The sequence below is a fragment of the Homo sapiens genome, chromosome 9 (genome assembly GCF_000001405.40).
Source record: "Homo sapiens chromosome 9, GRCh38.p14 Primary Assembly".
NCBI classification, from domain to species: domain Eukaryota; kingdom Metazoa; phylum Chordata; class Mammalia; order Primates; family Hominidae; genus Homo; species Homo sapiens.
Genome location: NC_000009.12, coordinates 85448466 through 85471571, shown reverse-complemented (window position 1 = coordinate 85471571; position 23106 = coordinate 85448466). Strand labels below are relative to the sequence as shown.

The 23106-nt window shown below is 42.4% G+C and overlaps 2 annotated features.

Annotated features, from left to right (window-relative positions):
- Positions 4085-4914: an enhancer, noted in NCBI's record as "OCT4-NANOG-H3K27ac hESC enhancer chr9:88081573-88082402 (GRCh37/hg19 assembly coordinates)". NCBI's record gives its function as "activates a minimal SCP1, AML or CMV promoter by ChIP-STARR-seq in naive and primed H9 embryonic stem cells {active_cell/tissue: H9 hESC(naive and primed)}" and the evidence as "EXISTENCE:reporter gene assay evidence [ECO:0000049][PMID:30033119]".
- Positions 12559-13433: an enhancer, noted in NCBI's record as "OCT4-NANOG-H3K27ac hESC enhancer chr9:88073054-88073928 (GRCh37/hg19 assembly coordinates)". NCBI's record gives its function as "activates a minimal SCP1, AML or CMV promoter by ChIP-STARR-seq in naive and primed H9 embryonic stem cells {active_cell/tissue: H9 hESC(naive and primed)}" and the evidence as "EXISTENCE:reporter gene assay evidence [ECO:0000049][PMID:30033119]".

Here is a 23106-nt window from a genome sequence, read left to right as displayed (position 1 = left end):
ATACCTCATTGATAGTCTTGTGTGATACATGAATCATCATAATCAGCTTCTTTTTTTTTTTTTTTTTTTTTTTTTGAGATGGAGTCTCGCTCTGTCTCCCAGGCTGGAGTACAGTGGCGCGATCTTGGTTCACTGCAAGCTCCGCCTCCCGGGTTTATGCCATTCTCCTGCCTCAGCCTCCCGAGTAGCTGGGACTACAGGCGCCCGCCACCACGCCCTGCTAATTTTTTTTGCATTTTTAGTAGAGACGGGGTTTCACCCTGTTAGCCAGGATGGTCTCGTTCTCCTGACCTTGGGTTCCGCCCGCCTCGGCCTCCCAAAGTGCTGGGATTATAGGCGTGAGCCGCCGCGCCCGGCCAATCAGCTTCTTGATGCTATGAAGTTTCCTTCATCTATTCTGAGATGTGCCAGTTTCTCCACCCTCCAGTTGCATTGCATGGTGTGTGAAGGCAATCTTTTTGCATTTTCTTATTTTCACTCACTTCCAGGTATCTTCTTTCTTGGGTCCCATAAAAAACTTGATTGTTTCCTTTTAAGAAAATCTGGAATTGTAGTCATTCTTTCAATGAAGATTATTTGCTTCAGTAATATTAAATTTGTGCTCTGCTGTTCTGTTTCCATGTCTTTCTACATACATTATATTATTTTATTTTAATGCTGGTTGTAGTGAAATCTTTTGGAAGAAATTTTAAGTAACAAACTCAGTGTGCATAGTACCAACGAAGTGCATAACTCTATTTGAAATGACGACATTTCAACATTGAAGGAGTTCATGCCAGCAGTTAGAAGGACAACAGAGCCCACGTGAAAAAATGTCTTGGTTTTTGTTGGATCTGATCACAAGTACTATAAGCAATCTTATGCAAGTATTAAATGAAAATGTATACAATCTTATGCAAGTATTAAGTGAGAATATATACAATTCTTATGCAAGTATTAATTGGAAAAAAAAAAAGTAGTTGCAGTCATTTTCTGAAAAATTACCCAGTCTCTTTAGTTAAAATTTGGAGGCATGGCCGGGCACAGTGGCTCAGGCCTGTAATCCCAGCAATTTGGGAGGCTGAGGCAGGCAGATCACTTGAGTTCGAGACCCGCTTGGGCAACATGGTAAAACCCTATCTCTACAAACATACAAAAATTATCCAGGTGTGGTGGTGTGTACCTATGGTCTCAGCTACTCGGGAAGCCATGGTGGAAGAATCTCCTGAGCCTGGGAGTTTGGGGCTACAGTGAGCCGAGATCGCACCATTGCACTCCAGCCTGGGTGACAGAGTGAGACTGAGACCCTGTCTCAAAAAAAAAAAAAAAAAAAAAAAAAAAAAAGAAAAAAAAAAGGAGGCAAATTGTCCTTAAAACAAGGATATCAAGTAGCAATATGAATGATAAAATATTGGGAAGCTGTTAGAGCCAAAATGCCATTGATTCATGATTTAATATCTTACAACATTCTAAAAAATTCCAATCTTTCATAGCATATTAGCAAAGCTGTAGAATAGGCTACCGTTACCAAAAATGTCAAAGAAAAGCTCTCAAATCTGACTGGGAGAGCTAAGATGAGGGAGCAGGTGTTTTTTTTTTTTTTTTTGTAAATTAATTAATTATTTTTTTTTAACTATCCTGCCAAAGAATAATATGGGTATAGAGGATAAGCAATTTAAAATGTTTGAGACACTCTAAGTGCATGATTATGACTGTAAATTGCATTTAGTTATGCTGCATATTATAGGATATTCCCCCCAACCTATGGAATGTTACATTGGCACACAAGACATCAAAGCCTTCTGTAATTCAATATGCCTCTAATTCCCAGTTGTGCAGAAAAATAAACAACATAACTGGATTTCACCTTTTAAGAAAAGGCATTTAAACTTATCTAAATATGTTAAAAACAAAACAAAATGGAATGAATTAGGTTTTCTTTCTTCTTAATTATTTCTAGAGCTTGTAAGAAACTTGCTTTTACAAAATAGCTGACCAATAGGGAGATACAAGGACCCCGGAGAAGACTTGGTACAGTGTATGACACTCATGATCAGACCCGGTTTCTTTCTTTCCTACTTCATCATTCTGCAGAGAAATCTTCAGTTTCTTTGCTACCCACTGACCTCTTCCTTTTGCTTTTGTTTCACTTGTGTTTATTCGCATTGTGAAGATTTATCCTTCTCTATTTTTCATTTTTTGACTTTGTTACTTTTGTAGGAACAGGTCTGCTGGACCATTTTGCTGGTTCCTTGAGGGTTTCTTTACTGACCCTTAGGCTGAATCCGCCTTGCTCTTGTGGATCTTGGCGGTGCCTGCGTTGGGGAAGGGGCCCCTGGCTACCTCTGGGCCGTCACCCAGCAAGTGCTTTTGCACGGGCTGCCTGCTGCTGCCGCTCCCGCCGATGAGCTGCTGGGGCCTGTGGCATCATTTTTCATGGCTGTGCAATAGCCCATGGCGTAATTGTGCTGGATGTGACAGTATTTTACCAATTCTGTAGAGATGATGGACATTTAAGCCTTTTCTAGATTTTCACTGTTCATAAAAGTAAAGCCAAAACTATTTTTGTTCATATAATTATACTTTTCGTAGAACAATTTCCTTCGAATAAATTTCTGGAAGGACTGTTAAGTCAAATATTATGAGTATTTTATAGATTTTATGTGTATTGCCAAATCACTTTAAAAAAGTTATACAGGTTTACAGCTACTGATGGTGTATGAGCATGTGCAAATCCTGAATCCTTGAGAATACCTAAAAAAGAAATCTTGGCCAAATGATCAGGGACAATTATATCTTATTTTAAAAATGCCTGCATTCTCTATTACTGTTGAAGTTGGACAATACTTCATGTTTTTATTAGCCATTTGTGACCTGTGCATGTTTCTTATTCATTTCTTTAATATTAGTTAATTATTTTATTAATTAAAAACACTTCTTCCAATGTATCAACGTTTTTGTTCTGCTTTGTGTATTGTAAATATATTTTAGCTTGTCATTTACCATTCTACTTTCTTACTTTTTCAATAATATTTTTGGTGTAAAAAGGATAGTTGTTGGGAGGTCAGATTTGTGGCAGGGCTGAATCTAGCATGGAGTTTGGCATGAAGCAAAAGCAGGATTGACATGTGGGCACACTAGTGTCTGTACCTCATTTTCTTTTTCTTAGTGCACAGACTAGAAATTGCAGAACTAGTCTGAATAATAGAGGTTGAAGCAGGCTGTCTCTTCTTGTTCTTAATTTAATGTGGATATTTTTCATCATGCTAAAAATCTGTTTTTCTAGTGTTGATTCATAAAGAGGTTTTTTAAAGAAAGATTCTGAATATTATCAAATATCTTCTCAGTACTGATTGAGATAATGGCATATTTCTGTGATTTGACCCATTTTTCTTAATATTTAATCATGCTTGCATTCCTGGACTAAAATCAACTTGGTAATAATGTGTTTTTAATATATACTTTACATTTGAATTACTTTTATGTTATGTATGATTTTCACATTTATATTCTTAAGTGAGGTTAGTCTGTTTCTTTTTCTGTCCTTGCCAGATTTTGGGTTATTAACTGGTTGTGTTTTGTCTGATCTTTTCTGTCTTATTTCACAGAGTCTGTGTTTTCAACATCTAAAAATCTCCTCTTAATTTTGTTATATTTTCAAAAGTATGCTCTTTATAAAGTTATAAAGTATAAACATAAACATAAACATACCCTGTAACTCAGCAATTCTACTATTAGGTAGAAACTCAATTTCAGTTCTTAACCAATTGCAATTCAGATTGTTATATCCTCATAATGAGGCACATGTGTATTAGAAGACATATACAAGAATGTTCATGACTGATAATAGCAAAATATTGGGAACTACTTTAATGTTATTAGTCATAAAAGGAATCAATATATTGTATATGCAGTACTATACATCATCACAAATTAATCTCAAAAACAAAATAGTATGTAAAAAAACACATAAAGAACAATATATAAAGTATCACCCAATTTATATAAAAGCTCAAAGCAAGCAAAACTAAACACCATGTTGTTTGGAAATGTATTCATATGCGTGTGTAAGGAAATTACAAAGAAAAAGAAAGGAATGCTTGTCTATGGCCATACCACCCTGAAAACACTCTATCTCTTCTGATCTTGGAAAAAGAAAGGAATGCTTCATGCAAAATTCTAGACAGTAGAGATGAAGGGAGGTGGTGTGACTAGGGAGGGGCACAGTGGGGAGCTTCGAAGTTATCAGTAACTTTTCTTCCTTAAGTTAGGTCATGGATAAACTGGTGTTTAGCTCATCGTTATTCTGAACTGTTCATTTCTGTTATATATACTCTTTCATGTCTTATCATGTTTGTTTCCCAGGGCTACCATAATAAATTGTCACAAACTGGGTGGTTTAAACCCACAGAAATTTATTCTCAAATCCTGGAGGCTAAATCAAAGTGCTGGCAGGACCTGGCTCCCTCCGAAGGCTCTAGAAAAACGTTTCCCGGCCTCTTCCAGCTTCTGGTGGCTCCGAGCAATCCTTCCCTGTGTCTGCACCCCTCCAGTCTCAGCCTCCCTCATGGCCTCTCCCCCGTGTCAGTCTCTATGTGTCTCCTCTGAGGAAGACACCAGCCATTGGGTTTACGGCCCATCCTAACTTTCATGCGCGTCCGTGTGAAGAGACCACCAAACAGGCTTTGTGTGAGCAATAAAGCTTTTAATCACCTGGGTGCAGGTGGGCTGAGTCCAAAAAGAGAGCCAGCGAAGGGAGATAAGGGTGGGGCCATTTGATAGGATTTGGGTAGGTAAAGGAAAATTACAGTCAAAGGCGGTTTGTTCTCTGGCGGGCAGGAGTGGGGGTCGCAAGGTGCTCAGTGGGGGTGCTTTTTGAGCCAGGATGAGCCAGGAAAAGGACTTTCACAAGGTAATGTCATCAGTTAAGGCAAGGACCGGCCACTTACACTTCTTTTGTGGTGGAATGTCATCAGTTAAGGTGGGGCAGGGCATATTCACTTCTTTTGTGATTCTTCAGTTACTTCAGGCCATCTGGGCATATACATGCAAGTCACAGGGGATGCGATGGCTTGGCTTGGGCTCAGAGGCCTGACATTCCTGCCCTCTTATATTAATAAGAAAAATAAAACAAAATAGTGTTGAAGTGTTGGGGCAGTGAAAATTTTTGGGGGGTGGTATGGAGAGAGAATGGGCGACGTTTCTCAGGGCTGCTTCAAGTGGGATTAGGGGCGGCGTGGGAACCTAGAGTGGGAGAGATTAAGCTGAAGGGAGGTCTTGTGGTAAGGGGTGATATTGTGGGGATGTTAGAAGAAACATTTGTTGTATAGAATGATTGGTGATGGCCTGGATACGGTTTTGGATGAATTGAGAAACTAAACAGAAGATACAAGGTCCGAATAAAAGAAGGAGAAAAATGGGTATTAAAGGACTAAGAATTGGGAGGACCCAGGACATCCGATTAGAGAGTGCCCAAGGGGGTTCAGCATAATTACTTGCTTGGTTGGCAAGTTTTTGGACTCTATCCTTGAGTTTTTTAATGTTGTCATACACCAGGCCAGATTGATTTAGGTAAAAACAACACTCCTCATTTAAGAATATGCAGAGTCCTCCTTTTTCAGAAGTGAGTAAGTCAAGGCCTCGGTGGTTTTGGAGGACAACTGCAGCTAAAGAGTCAACTTGGGCCTGGAGGACTGATAAAGTTTGTGATATGTCTGTGATGCTAGCAGAGAAGTCATTAGACAGGCTACAAAATGTCGTGACAGAGGTTGAAATGCCTGCTATTCCAGTACTGAGAGCAATAGTGGAGGCAGAAAGTCCTAAACCGACCATCAAGGGAATTAGTGGAATAACTCTTTTTTGTCATGTTGGTGTCATGAGGGGAACAGGGAGCTTTTCGGTCCCATTTGCAAATTGAATTTTGGGGGTAAGGAAGACTAGTGTACATGTGCCTGTCCAATTAGCAGGTAGACACATGTAGGTAGAGGATCCACAGAGGAAGAAGAGACCTTGTGCGAGGCAAAACTGGAGATGTAAAGTAAAAAGATGAGAAGGAGTGCTGAAAGGGGTGTCTTGTACCCAGACTCCTAGGGATCCAGCTAGGGCGGCAGCTGTCAGAGGTTGTAATGGGGACTGATGGGTAACTGCATAGAGGGGGAGGTTCAATTTTCATGGTGTATGAGAAAATGTTGAGTATCTACGAGCAACCTTTCACTGTTATTTTTGGGGCTGGGTATAAGTAAACAAGAAGAGGGCCTGGGAGGAGAGTCTAATGAGCAAGGGGAAGGTAGCCAGGGATGGAGTGAGATACAGGGCAAGTGTCTTCCTAAGCAATAATTAGTGCTAATTTTTTTTTTTTTTTTTTTACTGCTAATGTTTTTAAGTTTGTCAGTATTGATAGAGGGCTTGTCTGTAATATGGAGCTGGAAGGCTCCAATTGTTTCAGTGATGTGTGTAGTTGGGCTTTGGAGATGAAGAGTAAAGGAACATCGAGAAGGTGAAAGATTACCTAGGGGAATTCCAGTGGGTCTTTGCCGAGAGATACATAAAGGAGCGGCCACTGGAATAGTAGTTTGTGTTGTGAGAGGTCCAAATATGGGGGGAGTAGAGTTAATATAAGGAGAAAGGTTTTTTAAATAAGTGCGAAGGAGGGCGGCAGCTTGCTGATGTAAAATGTTTGGGGAAGTCTTGCTGGACCTGTCTAGAAAGTAAATGAGTTCTTCAGGAGGGTAAAGGTGAGGGCTGTTAAAGGAAGTTCGGAGGTGTAGGGAGACGGGAGATGTTGCCCAGTCTGTCTGTAAGGCGGGGACAGCTGTGTAGGCACTGGAAGAAAGGGAAATGCAAAGCCAGCAGTTGTTTGCCAAGGAGGGATTAGAAGCGGCTAGGAGAGATTGGGTAAGGTTGATAGTGTGGTGGAGATAGCTGGGGAGAGGTAGAGGGTGACATAAGAATGGGAATGAGAATAAGAGTGAGTATAAAAGTAAAGAATAGAACTTCATCAGGGTGGAAGTATTGGAGGGTGCCTTGCCAGCAAAGATCATCTATCCACTCTAAGAGGGAGTTAAGAGTGGCAGTTTGGGGATAGCACCAAGAGCTATCAGCTGTGATGGATTGAAGAAACAGTGTAAACCGGCGGTGTAAACAAGAGTAGGGCATTTATAAGTAGTTGAGAATGGAGAATAGGAGTATGACCGGACAGAAGATAGTAGGGATGACTAGTTTTTGGGGCTCGGCCTAAGTGGTGGGGGTGACTTCGTAAAGCCCTGTTGCAAAAAGTAGGGTAAGGACGAACAGACCTAATAGAATGAAGGGATGTAGTAGGCTCATAAGGGTTATTACTGTTCTTCAGAAATAAGAGTGAGTTTAAGGGAAGTGGGGGAGAGTACTTGCGACTTCCAGGAGGAAGAGGAGGGATTAGGCTGGCTGTCCGATGGCCACAGCTTTATTCTGGAAAGGTGAACCCAGTGGGGAGGATCCTGCAGGCAGACAGCAGTTGGGGTACTATAGATAAGTAGGGTCCGGTCCATCAAGGTTGTAGAGTTTGAGGGGTCAGATTCTTAACAAGAACTGATCGTCCAGCTAGGGTGTCTTCATATGGCTGGGGATCTGGAGTAGGCAAGAGAAGATTAGCAGCCTGGCAAATTTCCTGTCTAGCCTGCTGGAGGACTGGAAGATAGTCGCCTAGAGGGCTGGTGTCTGGGATGAGGTTGGGGCCAAGCAAGAAAGTGCGTCCATATAAAAGTTCAAATGGACTGTACCCTGTAACATCTCGAGGACAGGCTCTGATTCTGAGAAGAGCAAGAGGTAAAAGTACTGTCCAATCCTTTTTTAGTTGGAGGCTGAGCTTGGTGAGGTGTGCCTTTAAAAGACCATTAGTCCGTTCTAGCTTTCCTGAAGATTGAGGACGGTAAGGGATATGAAGGTTCCACTGAATACCAAAGGCCTGAGAAACTGCTTGGGTGATTTGGCTAGTAAAGACTGGTCCGTTATCAGACTGCATAGAGGTGGGAAGGCCAAACTGAGGAATTATGTCTGACAGAAGGGAAGAAATGACCGCGGTGGCCTTCTCAGACTCTGTGGGGAAGGCCTCTACCCATCCAGTGAAAGTGTCTACCCAGACTAAGAGATATTTTAGTTTTCTGACTTGAGGCATTTGAGTAAAGTCAATTTGCCAGTCCTGGGCAGGGGCAAATCCCCAAGCTTGATGTGTAGGGAAGGGAGGAGGCCTGAACAATCCCTGAGGGGTAGTAGAATAGCAGATGGAACACTGAGAAGTGATCTCCTTGAGGATAGATTTCCATGATGGAAAGGAAATGAGAGGTTCTAAGAGACGGGCTAGCGGCTTGTAACCTACATGGAAGAGCTTATGAAATAACGACAGAATAGAATGGGCCTGTGAGGCTGGAAGAAGATATTTTCCTTGGTCTAAGAACCATTTGCCTTGTGTGGGAAGAGATTGATAGGTGGAAGTTTCAGTGGGGGAGTAGGTGGGAGTGACCGAAGTGAAGGAGAAAAACTGGCCGTGAGGGACAGAAGTTGGAGAGCTAGCTGCTTGTCTAGCCACCTTATCAGCATAAGCATTGCCTAAAGCAATGGGATCTGACGCCTTTTGATGCCCCTTGCAGTGAATGACTCCAGCTTCTTTTGGAAGTAAAGCGGCCGTGAGCAGAGTTTTTATTAAAGAGGCATTAATGATGGAGGACCCTTGTGTAGTGAGGAAACCTCTTTCAGCCCATATGACCACATGGTGGTGCAGAATATGAAAGGCATATTTAGAATCAGTAGAGATATTGACGCGTAGTCCCTTTGCAAGAGTGAGGGCCCGAGTTAAGGCAATGAGTTCGGCTTGCTGAGAGGTAGTGGAGGGGGGCAGAGTGGTAGCCTCAATGATAGATGTGGAAGATACTATAAGCATAGCCTGCCTTTGCTGGTGAGTGGCGATTAGGCCTGGTGGAACTGCCATCAATAAATCAAGCGTGATCAGGGTGAGGAACAGGAAAGAAGGAAATTTGGGGAAATGGGGTGAATGTCAGGTGGATCAGAGAGATACAGTCATGGGGATCAGGTGTGGTATCAGGAATAATGTGGGAGGCCGGATTGAAGTCTCGGCCAGGAACAACGGTAATTGTGGGAGACTCAACAAAGAGTGAGTATAGCTGAAGGAGCTGGGAAGCAGAAAGTATATGCGTCAGGTATGAGGAAGAAAATAGATTTTGGAAGTTATGAGAACTGTAGAGAGTGAGTTGAGCACAGTTTGTGATTTTGAGGGCCTCTAAAAGCATTAAAGCAGCGGCAGCTGCTGCACACAGACATGAGGGCTAGGCTAAAACAGTAAGGTCAAGTTGTTTGGACAGAAAGGCTACAGGGTGTGGTTCTGGCTCTTGTGTAAGAATTCTGACCGCGCTAACCATGCCTAGGAAAGAAAGGAGTTGTTGTTTTGTAGAAGGTGCTTGGGTTTGAAAGATCAGTCGGACATGATTGGCAGGGAGAGCACGTGTGTTTTTATGAGAATTATGCTGTGATAGGTAACAGATGAGGAAGAAATTTGGGCTTGATTGAAGTAATGGGGGCTGTCTGTGAAGCTTTGCGGCAGTACAGCCTAGGTAATTTGCTGAGCTTGATGGGTGTCAGGGTCAGTCCAAGTGAAAGCGAAGAGAGGCTGGGATTAAGGGTGCAAAGGAATAGTAAAGAAAGCATGTTTGAGATCCAGAACAGAATAATGGGTTGTGGAGGGAGGTATTGAGGATAGGAGAGTATATGGGTTTGGCACCACGGGGTGGATAGGCAAAACAATTTGGTTGATAAGGCGCAGATCCTGAACTAACTTGTAAGGCTTGTCTGGTTTTAGGACAGGTAAAATGGGGGAATTGTAAGGAGAGTTTACAGGCTTTAAAAGGCCATGCTGTAGCAGGTGAGTGATAACAGGCTTTAATCTTTTTAAAGCGTGCTGCGGGATGGGATATTGGTGTTGAGTGGGGTAAGGGTGATTAGGTTTTAATGAGATGGTAAGGGGTGCATGATCGGTCGCCAAGGAGGGAGTAGAGGTGTCTTATACTTGTGGGTTAAGGTGGGGGGATACAAGAGGAGGACGCAAAGGAGGCTTTGGATTGGGAAGAAGGGAGGCAATGAGATATAGCTGTAGTCCAGGAATAGTCAGGGAAGCAGATAATTTAGTTAAAGTGTCTCAGCCTAATAAGGGAACTGGGCAGGTGGGGATAACTAAAAAGGAGTGCTTAAAAGAGTATTGTCTAAGTTGGCACCAGAGTTGGGGAGTTTTAAGAGGTTTAGAAGCCTGGCCGTCAATACCCACAACAGTTATGGAGGCAAGGGAAACAGGCCCTTGAAAAGAAGGTAATGTGGATTGAGTAGCCTCCGTATTGATTAAGAAGGGAATGGGCTTACCTTCCTCTGTGAGAGTTACCCGAAGCTCGGCGTCCGTGATGGTCTAGGGGGCTTCTGGGGCGATCGGGCAGTGTCAGTCTTCAGCAGCTAAGCCAAGAAGATCTGGGAAGGAGTCAGAGAGCCTTGGGCCAGAGTTCCAGGGGCTCTGGGAGTGGCTGCCAGGTGAGTTGAACAGTCCGATTTTCAGTGGGGTCCCACACAGATGGGACACGGCTTAGGAGGAATCCCGGGCTGCCGGCATTCCTTGGCCCAGTGGCCAGATTTCCGGCACGTGTCGCAAGCTCCTGGGGGAGGAGGTTCTGGAGGAACGCCTGGCTGCTGCGGTTCAGGCGTTTGGAAGTTCTTGTGTGCTGGAGATGTGGCTGGGGTTTGTCTCACAGTGGAGGCAAGGAATTGCAACTTTTTTCTATTATTGTACACCTTGAAGGTGAGGTTAATTAAATCCTGTTGTGGGGTTTGAGGGCCGGAATTTAATTTTTGGAGTTTTATTTAATGTTGGGAGCAGATTGGGTAATAAAATGTATTTTGAGAATAAGACGGCCTTTTGACCTTTTAGGGTCTAGGGCTGTAAAGTGTCTCAGGGTTGCTGCCAAACAAGTCATGAACTGGGCTGGATTTTTATATTTGATGAAAAAGAGCCTAAACGCTATCTGGTTTGGGATAAAGAAAAAGGAGCATTAACCTTGACTATGCCTTTAGCTCCAGCCACCTTTTTAAGAGTAAATTGCTGGGCAGGAGGGGGAGGGCTAGTCATGGAATGAAACTGTAAGCCAGACCAGGTGTGAGGAGGGGAGGTGATAAAAAGATTATAGGGTGGAGGAGCAGAGGCTGAGGAAGAATTGGGACCTAGCTCGGCCTGGCGAGGAGCAGCCTGGGGAGGAAGGGAGAGGTCAGATGGGTCTGTAGAAAAGGAAGATTAGAAAGACTCAGCGATGCTTGGGGTTGGTACTGAGGGGACAGGCGGGAGGGAAAGAAGGAAGATTTTGGACGAGTTGCACTGGGCACAGAGACTAGGAAGGGACCGATGTGTAAAAGAATGCCTGGAAGTCAGGCACCTCAGACCATTTGCCTATTTTACGACAAGAATTATTTAGATCTTGCTGGATGGAAAAATTCAAAGTGTCATTTTCTGGCTATTTGGAACTACTGTCGAGTTTGTATTGGGGTCAAGTGGCATTGCAGAAGAAAATAAGACATTTAGGTTTTAGGTCAGGTGTGAGTTGAAGAGGTTTTAAGTTTTTGAGAACACAGGCCAAGGGCGTAGAAGGAGGAATGGAGGGTGGAAGGTTACCCATAGTGAAGGAAGCAAGCCTAGAGAAAAGAGAGTAGAGAAATGGAGGGAAGAGGTTCGGGGGATCTTACCTTCCAGAAAAGTGGGAAAAAGGGTTTGGGGCATGGAAATAAGGGATTGGGGCACAGAGATAAGAGGTAGGGGTGTAGAAATAAGGGATTGGGGTGCAGATAAGAGGTTGGGGTGCAGAAATAAGGGATTGGGGCACAGAGATAAGAGGTTGGGGCATGGAAATAAGGGATTGGGGTGCAGAGATAAGAGGTTGGGGTGCAGAAATAAGGGATTGGGGCACAGAGATAAGAGGCTGGGGCATGGAAATAAGGGATTGGGGCACAGAGATAACAGGTTGGGGCATGGAAATAAGGGATTGGGGTGCAGAGATAAGAGGTTGGGGCATGGAAATAAGGGGTTGGGGTGCAGAGATAAGAGGTTGGGGTGCAGAAATAAGGGATTGGGGGTTCTTGCCCCCTAGAAAAGTGGGACTTGCCACTAAGGGTGAAGGAGAAGGGGTTGAGGGGTACTTGCCCCTCTCCCAGAAAAGCAGAGAAGGGGTAGAGACAAGGAGAGAAGGGGCTGGGGTACTTGCCCTGTCCCCAGAAAAGCAGAGAAGGGGTAGAGACAAGGAGAGAAGGGGTTGGGGTACTTGCCCCTTCCCCAGAAAAGCGGGACTTGCCGCTAAGGGTGAAGGACCAAGGCAGGCGTCCCTGTGTGGTCTGACACTCTTGAAACGTGGGTGTATAATCAGAGAGGCCTCCCTGCAATGATTAAACACCAAGGGAAGTCTGCCTTCCCAGTCTGTGACTGGCGCCGGAGTTTTAGGTCCACAGATAAAACGTGTCTCCTTTGTCTCTACCAGAAAATGAAAGGAATTGAAATTAAGAGAAGGGAGAGATTGAAGTGTGGCGCCAAGATTGAAAGGAGAAAGAGGTTGAGGGATAGTGAGGGAGGTTGGAGAAGAGAGTAAAAAGAGGCCACTTACCGGATTTGAAATTGGTGAGATGTTTCTTGGGCTGGTTGGTCTGAGGACCTGAGGTAGTAGGTGGATCTTTCTCATGGAGCAAAGAGCAGGAGGCCAGGGGATTGATCTCCCAAGGGAGGTCCCCTGATCTGAGTCATGGCACCAAATTTCATGTGCATCTGTGTGAAGAGACCTCCAAATAGGCCTTGTGTGAGCAATAAAGCTTTTAATCACCTGGGTGCAGGTGGGCTGAGTCCAAAAAGAGAGCCAGCAAAGGGAGATAAGGGTGGGGCCGTTGGATAGGATTTGGGTAGGTAAAAGAAAATTACAGTCAAAGGCGGTTTGTTCTCTGGCGGGCAGGAGTGGGGGTTGCAAGTTGCTCAGTGGGGGTGCTTTTTGAGCCAGGATGAGCCAGGAAAAGGACTTTCACAAGGTAATGTCATCAGTTAAGGCAAGGACCGGCCATTTACACTTTTTTTGTGGTGGAATGTCATCAGTTAAGGTGGGGCAGGTCATATTCACTTCTTTTGTGATTCTTCAGTTACTTCAGGCCATCTGGGCATATACATGCAAGTCACAGGGGATGTGATGGCTTGGCTTGGCTTGTGCTTAGAGGCCTGACACTAACCCGGTATGACACCATCTTAATTTAACTAATTATATCTGCAAAGACCCTATTTCCAAGTAAGGTCACATTCTGAGGTTCCTGGTAAATATACATTTATAAGGACATTATTCAACCCACCACACTAAGTATTTCATTTTTTACATAAATAATTTTTTAAAGAGATGTGTAGTTTAAAGATGTATAGAGTTTATAGAGTTTAAAGATTTAAAGAGATATATAGATATAAAGATTTTGTAGTTTAGGGATATAAGTTTTGGGAACAAATTTTCTGAAATTTTTGGAATGTTTCTCATTCTTAAAAAAATATATGTATACATGTATGTGTGTGTGTGTATATATATACATATATATATATATATATGATTTTGGTTTTTTCAAAAAAGCAGATTTTTCCTCTGTAGCCTGAGTGTACTCTTTCCTTTCTCTCTGCTCCTACATTGTTTCCCCAGGCTCCATGCTGCTTTTTTTCTGTTCTTTTGGCATGGAATCATTGGAAAGCTGGTCAGGCCTGGCTTACCTGGGCACAGGTGTGGACTGGCCATGGTTCCCCTCACTGTCTACCTGAATGCTGTCAACATCCTCCCCTCAGATCTTAAGGACAGAGAATGAGTACCGTGCACCTCACTTGGCCGAAATGGTGGCCCCATGTGAACTGTACTGGAATCTTCTCTCACTACAAGGATGGCTGAATAACTACATACAGTTATAGCGTTGGGTCATACCAATGAATCTGTCATAATTCTTGTGTCAGCAATAGTAAATATATAATTGCAGTCTTCGCAACACCCTTCTCCAATGGTCATTCCTGGCTCAGTCTCATTTCCAAATCTCTCCTCTAGGAAGTGATAATTTACACTCCAGCTGGTGATCGATCATCTCAGAATGGTGCATGAGGTGAGCTGACAACGGCAGCCAGGGGAAGGAACGCGAGGGCCCAGGATGGAAATGAGGTAGTCTAAATTTTTACTTCTTACCTATTAAAAAATTTTAAAATATTCAAATAAGAGTTATGTAAATATTTGTCTTCATCATTTCAAAATTTCTTGGCCTCAGTTTTCAGAAGGCTTCATGGTTAAAGTTGGAACATAATGGCAATTCTAAAACTGCTCTAAAGAGGTTTTCTTTAGGTCTAAGGATGTGAAAGTGTCCTTTGCATTTATTTTTTGTCTTTATTTACTTTGGATATATATATTCAAGCACACACATATTCTTTTCTAGCTATTGAATTAAAAAAATTTTCAATCTATGTCATATAGCAGTAGTTTCTCATTTTCATTGCAGTATATTATGTATATTACTCAATTTTATGTACTATGGTTTGAATGTGTCCCCAAAGTTCATGCCTTGGAACTATTTTTTTTGGTGTTCCATACAAATTTATTGAATGAATACATAAATGGTCCAGTTGGAACACGATTTTGAAATCACAGTGGATGCCATGTTGCCCTACCCTTATCTAACCCCACCCACTCCCATTTAGTATGCAGTACTTACACTCCCAACAGCTTACGGTTTTCATGGGCTTCCCGTTTCCAGGGATTGCCCATGCCTGAAGAGGGATGCCTCCCCACCAAGCTCACACTCCCTATTCAGGGCCCACATCTCCATGACTGGCCAACGCAGAGGTATAAACTGTGGCCTCTTTCCCCCAAAAGGGACAATTCAGCAGAGTTATCATAGCTCGGAAGCCCTCAGTGGGATTGGCAGAGGCCTTTGTTGTGACTGCCTCAGAGCCCACTTCTCTCGCGGCTCAATCACATTCCTTTTGCCCCCTCTGAGATGTTATTCCCAAGAGCACCAACATGAAATTCACTGAACACAACTCTCCATCTCAGAGACTTGTCCCCAGAAACTCAACCTGCCACAGGGGTGCATAGTTTCCAGACTTAACATGATTTTTCATCTAGTTTCTAGGATAAAGGTCAGACTATGAGGTAGAATTACAAAGTAGAAGGAAGTGTCCAGGCTGGGTGCAGTGGCTCATGCCTGTAATCCGAGCACTTTGGGAGGCTGAGGCAGGCGGATCACCTGAGGTCAAGAGTTCCAGACAAGCCTGGCCAATATGGAGAAACCCCGTCGCTACTAAAAATACAAAAATTAGCCGGGTGTGATGGTGGGCACTTGTAATCCCAGCTACTCGGGAGGCTGAGCTAGGAATTCAATCTGAGGGGCTCAATCACTTGAACCCCAGAGGTGGAGGTTGCAGTGAGCCAAGAGCGAAACTCCGTCTAAAAAAAAAAAGGGTCCATTGATTGGTACCATTCTATTTTTGTGCTTCTCATCCATCTACTGTCATTTTTTCACCCAACCTTCTAGAATAACGACATCTTCCTACTATCCAGAGAGTCCCAGTCCCTTGAAGCACCTAGAGTCAGTTTTCCCACAACACCACAGACTCCTATGTCACAAGTATTAAAAAGGCAATCAGATTCAACTCCTTCATGCTAACATGCTAGTGAAAACCCACTCCCTTTCATCTTCCCATGGAATCTAAGGAAGGAGGAATTGAAGGATTTCAACAGAAAGTGAAATGTCTCTCCTGATCCCCTGATAGAAACAAAGATGTTGGGTCACCTAGAATCAGGAAGATTTTAAAAGAACCTCACTATGGCCTTTCTTCCCCAACCTTCTGTGACACTGGCCAACCCATTCCTAATCTCAGCCTCTTCACCTCAGTTGTGTTCTTTTGGGTTTGGAATGATGGTAGAAACAGTGACAAGGGCAAATGTGTTCTCCAAGGTAAGACCAAACCATTCATTCCAAAAGTACTTGGGTGTATACTATGTGTCAGCCTCCACACTAAGTACTCATGAGGATATCACAGTGGCAACAATAAACAAAGCCCTAAGGAACAGATAGAGTCTGGTTGAGGACAGAATTAAGGCTGTGAGCCTCAGGAGTCATGTCCTGAAATGGGCTATCAAAGTGATAACAGGTGCTACAGGATCAGCTAGCAGGGTCACCTAATCTAGCTTTGGGTAAGAGAAATTTATCAATTAAAAAATAATTTAAGTTCTTTTTTTCATCACAATTCAGTCTTTTTTTTCTCATATGTATTTGCAAAATAATATTTACCTTTTTATGTGTGATATATGCTAATACTTTCTATTTTTTATTTAACATATATTGGTTGTGGCCAGGTGTGGTGGCTCACGCCTGTAATCCCAGCACTTTGGGAGGCCAAGGCAGGCAGATCACCAGAGGTCAGGAATTTGAGACCAGCCTGGCCAACATGGCGAAACCCCATCCCTAATAAAAATACAAAAAAATTAGCTGGGTGTGGAGTTGCACTCCTATAATCTCAGCTACTTGAGAGGCTGAGGCAGGAGAATCGCTTGAACCCAGGAGCCGGAGGTTGCAGTGAGAGATCACACCACTGCACTCCAGCCTTTGTGACAGTGACAAAGTATGACTCTGTCTCCAAATATACATATATTTGAATCACAAAATTAAGTAAATCTCAACATATATATATTAAGTAAATCTTATATATATAAGTAAATCTCTCTCTATATATATCTATATATCATATATATCATATATACATATATGATATCATATCATATCATATATACATATATGATATCATATCATATCATATATACATATATGATATCATATCATATCATATCATATCATATATATGATATCATTAATTTTGTGATTCATTAAAGGATTGCAATCCATAGTTTGAAACAGTCTTTCCTCTTTTCCAGCCTTTGGAGTGGGAAAAGGCCCTACAGGTTAACAATTCAATAAAATGTAGAGAATTGTTGAGGGCACATTCATTAGTTCTTCAGAATACTATCCTACTACACCATTTAACATTTGGAAAAAGATGAGAAATTTTTGAAAATGATTTCTGTAAAATTATGTGGCTTAATCACACTCAATGGCTCAGTTTATTAAGAGAGGTGAGACATTTTTCCTGAACTGATGATTGTTTACAAACCATACTTTCTCACATGGCAATGTGAAAAATATTTTCTGAAAATTAAGAAAAAGTGATAAATAATAGTTATATTAGTCATCTGTTGCTGTGATAATACTGTGTGACAACTCTGGAATCTTAGTGACTTACAACAACAAACATTAGTTTTCCTCCTCGGTAGATCTGCAGGGTGGCTGGAATGGTTTGGCTTTAGGCTATGGCTTAGGTTTTCTGGGGAGGTCATTAAAGGCCTCTGCTCTGTAGTAGCACACTCTTACTTCATCTGCATCCGTTGGCCAGGGCAAGTCGTGTGGCTGAGCACAACATCAATGGGTGGGGAACTAAACTTCTGCTGAGAACAATAGGAAGGGTGAGGAAGGAAGAATCCTGAGCCAATAATACATTCTATTACACTAGCCAATAGTTCCAGAACCCTGTCTCTATTGCATTCACTTATTTCTGAGTCATGACAGTCACTGCTCAAAATAGGAAACTGGGCCGGGTGCAGTGGCTCACGCCTGTAATCCCAGCACTTTGGGAGGCCGAGGCAGGCGGATCACGAGGTCAGGAGATCGAGACCATCCTGGCTAACACGGTGAAACCCCGTCTCTACTAAAAATACAAAAAAATTATCTGGGCTTGGTGGTGGGCGCCTGTAGTCCCAGCTACTAGGGAGGCTGAGGCAGGAGAATGGTGTGAACCTGGGAGGCGGAGCTTGCAGTGAGCCAAGATAGCGCCACTGCACTCCAGCCTGGGCGGCAGAGCGAGACTCCATCTCAAAAAAAAAAAAAAAAAAGAAATTGGCTTTTTCTTTCATTACAAAACATTGTTCCTTGATAAAAATAATTCTTTTTTTAAGAGGTTGCATTTGCACTGTGCAGTATATTCAGTTGAAAATTGTACAAAAAGAGACACAAAATAGTTAGGGAAATGTACCTTTTGATAATTTTGTACATTGCATATTGTGGCATCAGTGTGTGCTTCACATCTTGTAGTAAATAACCAGCTGTGGATGAACTCAGAAAAATATGACAGCACTCACTTAGGAAAAAAGCACCTCTTTCTTAATTCCTTTATGATGAAGTTCTTGCTTTGACTGTATCATTTCTTTCCCCTTGGAGTCAGCACAGTTGTTTAATTCATAGAAGTTCCAAAATTGCTGAAATTATTTTATTCTCATGTTTTGATTCCTGTTCTGAATGCAGCTGTAGAAAAATTTTTCAGAGTAATGAACAATGTGTACATGAATAAATGAAGCTGCCTGGTGAGGGAAATTAGTACAGAGTCAATTTTGTTTCCTCTTCTGTGCTCTATACCAGGGGTTGGAAAACCATGGCCCATGGCCCAACACTTAGTTTTGTAAATAAAGTTTATTTATTATCTATGATTGCTTTTGTGCTATAACAGCAGGATTGAGTGCTTTTAACAAAGATCATATGGTCCAGAAAGGCTAAAATATTTACTATGTGGTCCTTTATAGAAAAATTTGTTGTCTCGGATTCAGAGGAACATGGCAGATGGGAGGCAGGACTAGATTGAAGCTCTGGACAGAGCAGCATGCGGGGGCTCACATTGTGAATTTTAGCTCCAGATCTCTGCAAGAACAAACCAGCAATCCAGAAAGGACCCACAGACCCTCTGAAGGAAGTGGACTGCTTCTGCAGGACCGGGGAGACACCCCAAATAGTGGGAAAGGGAGACCCTCCTCTTCTGAACACACACCCCAACTGGGGAAGCTGAAGGTCTGTTTGGGGGAGAAGTTTCTGACTTTACCTGGAGCTCTGTCAAGTTAGAGAGCCGACTGAAATACAGGGGTGGAGGAAGCAGCAGAAAGGCCCTGGGAGCTCGCTGGGTTCCCATGCAGCCCATTCCTCCCTGGCACCACAGGGATCCATTGGGAGGGTGGCCAGAGGAGCAGGGGGTAAAACTCCACAGGGAGAAGGAATTCTTTAGCTGAACTTGGGGGAGGGAGCCAGTTGGTAGTGCAGACTTCATAGGCAGGGAAAGAACTAAAGCCCCTTTCTTTCACAGCTGGGAGGTGAATAGCCTCAGGCAAGTTCTCAAGCCCATCTCACCCTCCACGTGGAAATAGACTCGGGGCTGTTGGGGTGGTTGGTGGGGAGGCACTTGGTGTGGAGGCACGGTGGAAGTGAGACAGGTCCTTTGGTTTGCGTGGGAGCTGGGTGAGGCCTGTGACTGCCGGCTTTCCCACTTTCCTGACAATCTGCATGACTCAGCAAAGGCAGCCATAATCCTCCTAGGTACACAACTCCAGTGACCTGGGAATCTCATCCCCATCCCCCACAGCAGCCACAGAAAGACCTGCCCAAGGAGAATCTAAGCTCAGACACGCCTAGCCCCACTCCCACCTGATGGTCCTTCCCTATCCACCCTGGTAGTGGAAGACAAAGGACATATAATCTTGGGAGTTCTAGGGCCCCACCCACCGCCAGTCCCTCTCCACACTACTGCAGCTGATGCTTTCTGGAGAGTGCCACCTTTTGGCAGGAGGCCAACCAGCACAAAAACAGAGCATTAAACCACCAAAGCTAGGGACCTTCATGGAGTCCATTGCACCCTCCACCACCTCCACCAGATCAGGCATGGGTATCCATGGCTGAGAGACCCATAGACAGTTCACATCACAGGGCTCTGTGCAGACCTGCACTAGCCCAGAGCCAGGTAGACTCGTTGGGTAGCTAGACCCAGAAGAGAGACAATAATCACTGCAGTTCAGCTCACAGGAAGCCACATCCATAAGAAAAGGGGGAGAGTAATAAATCAAGGGAACACCCCATGGGACAACAGAATCTTAACAACAGCCTTCAGCCCTAGACCTTCCCTCTGCCAGAGCCTACCCAAATGAGAAGTAACCAGAAAACCAACTCTGGTAATATAATAAAACAAGGCTCTTCAACCTCCCCCCAAAAATCACACTAGTTCACCAGCAACAGATCTAAACCAAAAAGGACTCCCTGATTTGCCTGAAAAAGAATTCAGGAGGTTAGTTATTAAACTAATCAGGGAGGGACCAGAGAAAGGCAAAGACCAATGCAAGGAAATCCAAAAAATGATACAAGAAGTGAAGGGAGAAATATTCAATGAAATAGATAGCTTAAAGAAAAAAACAATAAAAAGTTCAGGAAACTTTGGACACACTTTTAGAAATGCGAAATACTCTGGAAAGTCTCAGCAATAGAATTGAACAAGCAGAAGAAAGAAATTCAGAGCTTGAAGACAAGGTCTTTGAATTAACCCAATCCAACAAAAGAAAAAAGAATAAGAAAATATTAACAAAGCCTCCAAGAAGTCTGGGATTATGTTAAATGACCAAACCTAAGAATAATCAGTGTACCTGAGAAAGAAGAGAATTCTAAAAGCCTGGAAAATATATTTAGGGGAATAATGGAGGAAAACTTCCCCAGCCTTGCAAGAGACCTAGACATTCAAACGCAAGAAGCACAAAGAACACTTGGGAAATTCATCATAAAAAGATCTTTGCCTAGGCACATTGTCATTAGGTTATCCAAAGTTAAGACAAAGGAAAGAAGAGCTGTGAGACAGAAGCGTTAGGTAACCTATAAAGGAAAACCTATCAGATTAACAGCAGATTTCTCAGCAGAAACTGTACAAGCTAGAAGGGATTGGGGACCTATCTTTAGCCTCCTCAAGCAAAACAATTATCAGCCAAGAATTTTGTGTCCAGTGAAACTAAGCATCATATATGAAGGAAAGGTACAGTCATTTTCAGACAAACAAATGTAGAGAGAGTTCGCCATTAACTAAACAACCACTACAAGAACTGCTGAAAGGAGCTCCAAATCTTGAAACAAGTCCTGGAAACACATCAAAACAGAACCTCTTCAAAGCACGAATCTCACAGGACCTGTACAACAAAAATACAAGTTAAAAAGCAAAAACAAAAAGCAAAAATCAAAGTACACAGGCAACAAAGAGCATGACAAAAGCAACAGTACCTCAAATTTCAATACTAATATTGAATGTAAATGGCCTAAATGCTCCACTTAAAAGATACAGAACCGCAGAATGGATAAGAACTCACCAGCCAACTATCTACTGCCTTCAAGAGATTCAACTAACACATAAGGACTCACATAAACTTAAAGTAGAGAGGTGAAAAGGGCATTTCATGCAAATGGACACCAAAAGTGAGCAGGGGTAGCTATTCTTACATCAGACAAAACAAACTTTAAAGCAACAGCTGTTACAAGAGATAAAGAGGGACATTATATAAAGGTAAAAGGCCTTGTCCAATGGAAAATATCACAATCCTAAACATATATTCACCTAATACTGGAGCTCCCAAATTTATAAAACAATTATTAATAGAGCTAAGAAATGAGATAGACAGCAACACAATAAGAATGGAGGGCTTCAATATTCCATGACAGCACTAGATAGGTCATCAAGACAGAAAGTCAACAAAGAAACAATGGATTTAAACCATAACTTGGAACAAATGGACTTAACAGATATATACAGAACATTTCATCCAGCAACTGCAGAATACACATTCTATTCAACAGCACATAGAACTTTCTCCAAGATAGACCATGTGACAGGCCATAAAATGAGCCTCAATGAATTTAAGAAAATTAAAATTATATCAAGCACTCTCTCAGACCACAGTGGAATAAAACTGCAAGTTAACTCCAAAAGGAACCTTCAAAATCATGCAAATACATGGAAATTAAATAACCTGCTCCTGAATGAACATTGGGTCAAAAATGAAATCAAGATGGAAATTAAAAAATTCTTTGAACTGAATGACAATAATGACACAGCCTATCAAAACATCTGGGATACAGCTAAGGTGGTGCTAAGAGGAAAGCTCATAGCCCTAAATACCTACATCAAAAAGTCTGAAAGAGCACAAACAGACAATCTGAGGTCACACCTCAAGGACCTAGAGAAACAAGAACAAACCAAATCCAAACCTAGCAGAAGAAAGGAGATAACCAGGATCAGAGCAGAACTAAATGAAATCAAAACAAACAAACAAATACAAAAGATAAATGAAACAAAATCTGGTTCTTTGAAGAGATAAATAAAATTGATAGACCATTAGCAAGATTAACCAAGAAAAGGAGAGAGAAAATCCATATAACCTCACCAAGAAACTAAACAGGAGATATTACAACTGACACCACTGAAATACAAAAGATCACTCAAAGCTACTAGGAACACCTTTATGCACATACACTAGAAAACCTAGAAGAGATGGATAAATTCCTGGAAAAATACAACCCTCCTAGCTTGAATCAGTAAGAATTAGATACCCTGAACAGACCAATAACAAGCAGAGAGATTGAAATGGTAATTAAAACAGTACCAACAAAAAAGTCCGGGAGCAGACGGATTCACAACAGAATTCTACCAGACATTCAACGAAGAATTGGTACCAATCCTTTTGACACTATTCCACAAGATAGAGAAGGAACCCTCCCTAATTCATTCTGTGAAGCCAGCATCACCCTAATACCAAAACCAGGAAAGGACATAACCGAAAAAGAAAGCTACAGACTGGTATCTTTTATGACCATAGATGCTAAAATCCTTAACAAAATACTAGCTAACCAAATCCAACAACATATCAAAAAGATAATTCACCATGATCAAGTGAGTTTCATACCACGGATGCAGGGATGGTTTGACATATGCAAGTCAATAAATGTAATACACCACATAAACAGAATTAAAAACAACAATCACATGATAATTTCAATAGATGCAGAAAAAGCATTTGACAAAATCCAGCATCGCTTTATGATTAAACTCTCAGCAAAATTGGCATACAAGGGATAGATACCTTAATGTAATAAAAGCCATCTATGACAAACCCACAGCCAACATAATACTGAATGGGGAAAAGTTGAAAACATTCCCCCCGAGAACTG